This window comes from Homo sapiens, chromosome 15, assembly GCF_000001405.40.
Source record: "Homo sapiens chromosome 15, GRCh38.p14 Primary Assembly".
NCBI classification, from domain to species: domain Eukaryota; kingdom Metazoa; phylum Chordata; class Mammalia; order Primates; family Hominidae; genus Homo; species Homo sapiens.
In genome coordinates, this window is record NC_000015.10 from 37,863,768 (window position 1) to 37,869,076 (window position 5,309).

General features: G+C 41.2%; 2 annotated features.

Annotated features, from left to right (window-relative positions):
* Positions 220-1,419: an enhancer, noted in NCBI's record as "BRD4-independent group 4 enhancer chr15:38156188-38157387 (GRCh37/hg19 assembly coordinates)". NCBI's record gives its function as "activates an origin of replication core promoter dependent on BRD2, P300/CBP, MED14 and CDK7 cofactors, and independent of BRD4, by STARR-seq in HCT116 cells {active_cell/tissue: HCT116}" and the evidence as "EXISTENCE:reporter gene assay evidence [ECO:0000049][PMID:35650434]".
* Positions 3,539-5,039: an enhancer, noted in NCBI's record as "VISTA enhancer hs830". NCBI's record gives its function as "enhancer in: midbrain (mesencephalon)[5/5]" and the evidence as "EXISTENCE:transgenic organism evidence [ECO:0001131][PMID:17130149]".

The following is a 5,309-nucleotide window of genomic DNA, read 5'->3' on the forward strand; positions in this document are numbered from 1 at the left end:
CTCTGCTACAACATATTTCTCATTTCGGTTTAAATCTACCTAGCCACCCAAGAAAGAAATGTAGGAAGCCCTCTTTGTCTTCTCCCATGTCACCTGGTCCTGTCATTCTCATCATCTCTCTCTCAAATTTGTCTTCTCCCCACTATTCTTACTGCTGCAGTTCAGTCAGAATTTCCTACCTGGCCCCTACTTCATGCTTTCACAGCATTCAACTGCAAGTATGGTCCAATATATTTATACCGAGCTGAATTCAGTTCCTCAGTGCATCATTTTCTTGAATAGTTTTATGATTTCATGCATTCTATTGAGAGTTGAAGCCAGCTGGGCTTCTGGGTAGGGTGGGGACTTGGAGAACTTTTCTGTCTAGCCAAAGGATCATAAACACACCAATCAGCACTCTGTGTCTAGCTAAAGGTTTGTAAACGCACCAATCAGCACTCTGTAAAAATGCACCAATCAACGCTCTGTGTCTAGCTAAAGGTTTGTAAACGCACCAATCAGCACTCTGTAAAAACACACCAATCAGCGCTCTGTGTCTAGCTAAAGGTTTGTAAATGCACCAATCAGCACTCTGTAAAAACACACCAATCAGCGCTCTGTGTCTAGCTAAAGGTTTGTGAACACACCAATCCGCACTCTGTAAAAAGGCACCAATCAGCACTCTGTGTCTTTCTAAAGGTTTATAAATGCACCAATCAGCACTCTGTAAAATGGACCAATCAGTGCTGTGTAAAATGGACCAATCAGCAGGACGTGGGTGGGGCAAAATAAGGGAATAAAAGCTGGCCAAAATAAGGGAATGAAAGCTGGCCACAGGAGCCAGCAGCGACAACCTGCTTGGGTCCCCTTCCGTGCTGTGGAAGCTTTGTTCTTTCACTCTTCACAGTAAATCTTGCTGCTGCTCACTCTTTGGGTCCACACTGCCTTTAAGAGCTGTAACACTCACTGCAAAGGTCTGAGGCTTTACTCCTGAAGTCAGCAAGACCACGAACTCACCAGAAGGAAGAAACTCTGGACACATCTGAACACCTGAAGGAAAAAACTCTGGACACACCATCTTTAAGAACTGTAACACTCACTGTGAGGGTCCGTGGCATCATTCTTGAAGTCAGTGAGACCAAGAACCTACTGGAAGCAACCAATTCTGAACACACTATCCTTCCATTCAAAATGTCTTCCTTCTCCTTGTTCACATGGTAAGAACTTCAAATGTCAAATGTGAGTTCCTCCATGAAGTGATTCCTGACTTTATCATGAAGAGATGTCTTCCTCCTTTGTGCTGTCACAGCACACTGGATGCAAACCTCCATTCACAGCACTGTTCTTAGTGGTTTGCAACTCTGTCTCTACACCTTGCCCCCTGTGGACAGTAAGTGTTCCAAGGGTAGGGAGAAACTATGTTCTATTCATCTTCACATCGCCGAAATTTAACATCGTGGTGGGCTTTTAAAGATTGCTGAACAAATTGATTTGTCTAATGTACATTAAAAGAAGTGACAGAAATTAATGTTAAGAGAGAGGCAGGGATTTCTACTTGGGGGAGGCACAGGGATTTCTAGTTGGGGGAGGGGTGGAGATTTCTAGTTGAGGGGGGCGGGAAAATATACTTGCTTTCAGGGAAAGAATTCTGGACAGTCTTGCACCTGGGTTCTCTTACCCAAGCTCTGCCATTGGCTGTGTAACCTAGATTAAGTCATTCACTGTCTCAGAGCCTCAGTTTAATCATCTGAAAGCAAAAAAAAAAAAAAAAGCTACACAACTCAGTTACCACCAAGATCCCTCTCATCTCAAAGACTTTAAGTACAAGAGTTAGCCAGAAAATAAGGGGAACTGACAAACAGTCTAACATAACATGCAGGCCTGGGTTCAAAGCCTGACTCTACCAATTACCAGATATAACCAGAGTATCTAACTTCTCTAAGCATCAGTTTCCTTGTCTAAAATGCATGCATAAATAATAAATGTTTTCCCATCATAGACTCATGTAAGAATTAAATCAGTGGATACACATATAGCACTTAGAACAGTAGCTGATACAGATGGGCAAAGCACTTACCAAATAGAAGACAGTCTGACCATGAATGAACCTAAATTTGACTTCGTAGCTTTTCACTTTAATGCTGACTAGTTGTATTCCTGACTGAAATCACTTCATGGAGAAACTCACATTTGAGGTTTGAAGTTTTTACCATGTGAACAAGAAGGAAAACATTTTGAATGGAAGGATAGAATGAGTGAAATCATAAAAATGTTGAAGAAAATCATTTATTGAGGAACTGAATTCAGTTCAGTATAAATATATTGGACCATACTTGCAGTTGGATGCTGTGAAAGTGTGAAGTAAGGACCAGATTGGAAATTCTCAGTGTCTGAACTGCGGCAGTGAGAATAGCAGGGAAAAGATAAATTTGAGAGAGAGAAGATGAAAATGACAAGACCTGGTGAACTTAGGACCTCCTACATACATAAGTCAGTAAGCCATTGAGTACCAAGATAGTCTATATGTTTTGTCTCAGGTCTACTGTTTCTGCCAGAAGAACCATCCATTCTTCCACACTGTTGATACTAAGAAATTTAGCATGCATGGAATTGGCAAGCAGGATATTGAGGTTTCAGAAGTCTATCTTGGCATCTATCTTCCACCAACGCCCCCAGGGCCCTGGAACAATTCATGATCAGTTTTCCCTTAATTCTGGGGAAAGGAGTGAGATGATCAGAGGGCACTGGGGGAAAGGAGTTGATTTCTTCTGAACTCTTCCCAGAAAGAAGCCCATCAGCCTGCTTCTTACTAGATAGAAGTCAAAAGAAAGGTGTAACTCTGAAAAAAAAAATTACTTCGAGACCATTGTTTTGACTACTGAGACCATTCTTTTTCTCAGACTCCTTCCTTTTCTCCCAAGCTGATTTCTTTTAGTGAGTTTTCCAAGAAGGACCTTCACCTCCAACTTCAACCTTAGTCTTAACAGACCAACAGGTAATAAAATTGAAAAGACAGGCAACTTTTATTTCCCTCTGGCTGGATCCACACTCAGGTGGTGAGGCTTAGTAATAGGAAGCCTCTCACCTCCAACAAAGGCTAAGTGGACTCTCAGCAAGACTATATTAAAAGTATCCAGCATGTCTCATGCACTAGACAGATTCTATATTTAACCCCTCCATTTGCTGAGTAGCACAATAGGTAAAGGAGAAGCCCAGCATTGTGTTCAGGATGTCTTGAGAACAAATCATGCAGGCTGGCAATGGGATCCCATAACCATTGCTAGGAAAAAGGACTGGTGGGGCCCTTGATATGTGTGAGCCCTGGCTTCGTTATTACAGCCACTTGGAAGAAAAGGCGGGATAGCAGATTTGGGCTACGGGTTTCCACTTATCTGAATTAGTAATAAAGATCTTGAAAGACACAGGAGCAATGCCATTAGTCCCAGCTGCCTTCATTATTTTTAATATGCCTTTGTTCACCTCCATTTCCCTTTAAGATTGGAGAAAGTCCATGTAAGAATTCATGATTTTCTATCCCAATCTTCCTATTTATAAAGTGGTGCACTTGAAATGGCATGTAGCAGACCCCTGCCAGGTGGGCTGCCTCCCAAAGTTCAACAGGAACAGTGTGAGTGGGCTAAGAGATGGATGGCGGCCCTTACCTGACCACGATGGGAAAACCTTTAAAAGGACAAGCAAGCAGCCTAATTTCTTTTATTCCTCAAGGCAATGGTGGGGCGTTTTGATCTTTCCTGGGTTTGTTTCTCAGCCAGCTCTAGTCCTTTGTCTTGCCCCTTTCAATGAGGTTCTGCAGTTTTATTTTATCTAAACCAGAAAACGTCGCGTGATTCTGTAAATGTTTTCTTGCTGTTGTACTTTTCAGACTATTTTCTTCCTTGTTTTTTGGAGGCCTGAATCTGCCTTTGGTCACACTATTTGCTCCTCTATGGTCACCTCGGAGAAGATTAACCCTTTCATTAAAAAAGCCTGGCCAGGGTCAAACTACCGCCTGGCTAGGGACTCTTACATCCCTTTGATCTCCCAGCTATGGAGAAATTATTAGCAAATTCTAAGCCTTCCCATGTGATTTGTTTTTGTAAATTTGTAGAAATTATTCCTAATCCTATTACGTGGCCTAGGGCAAACCTGCATTAAATATAGGAGACTTTTTGTTATGTGGCAGATGGATAATAAAGGAATGCTGAATGCAGCTCCATTCCAAGTTATGGGAATCTGGACACTTCATCAGCATTCACTTAATCCTCTGCCATAGCTCCGCCTTTGATGAATGCTCTCATTTATGACCACTGATGCCGCTCACTTAATTTCAGAGAAGAAAAATAATACCTAGCTGTTAATGTGAATATTTGAGTTTATGGCTGTACAATGAATAATTGTGACATTATCAAAGGAACATCTCCTTATACATTATTCAGTTGTATAGACCACATTAACCAGAGATTGGAAACTTGCAATTTTGCATCTTCCATCTTCTTTGGAACGGAGACACCATGCAGACAAAAGTCAGTGTCTCAAACCAAATTCTACCTGACAATGCGTATCAGCCCGCACTATATTTTGCTCATTGTGGTGCCAATCTCCTATCTTACCAATGACATTTTTTCAAAGAAAGAGGGGATTTCCTAGAGACTCGACCCCATGCAACTTCCATAGCTTATTATTGAATAGGAAAATGTAGTTTTGGTTTCTGCTTTAAAACTGATGCCATGGAGGATGTCTTGAGGGTTAGACTGAAAATTAAGACAGCACACCTTTGCTGCTTATACTTTATATATAAACTGAGGGCCTTTTTCAATGTAAGTTTTCACTTAGACAGCAGGAGAGAATGGAAGTCACCCATGAATTACCAAGCCTTTGCTGGGTTCAGCCAGGCAGAGATCCGTGCTGGTACCATTAAGGACAGTCATGCAAAATCACTCACTTCTCTGTTACAGAATAGATATGCCTCAGCTGCTTCAGCATTGTATGCCTTTGTTTCTGGGGAAGTAGGGGATGAGGTGCCAGAAAAGGCATGTAAAGAGTAGGATGGAACATTTTCATTGTAAAACCTCATTGGATAGTGTTTTTAACTAAGATATGTGCAGATGTTATGCACAGGCATGTTGTCTGAAAATGCCAGGAATACTTTATAAAATAGCAAACTTATTTAATAAGACAGCAAATACCGGTATCAGACTATGAATGGCACCACTGAGCTATTGATTTTTAAAGTATCCTTCCATTTTAGTTTAATTTCAATATTGCTTGGTAAATACACTTTGAGGTTAAGATCAGATTTCTCTAAAGATGTTTTCCTGAGTTGCTGTTTG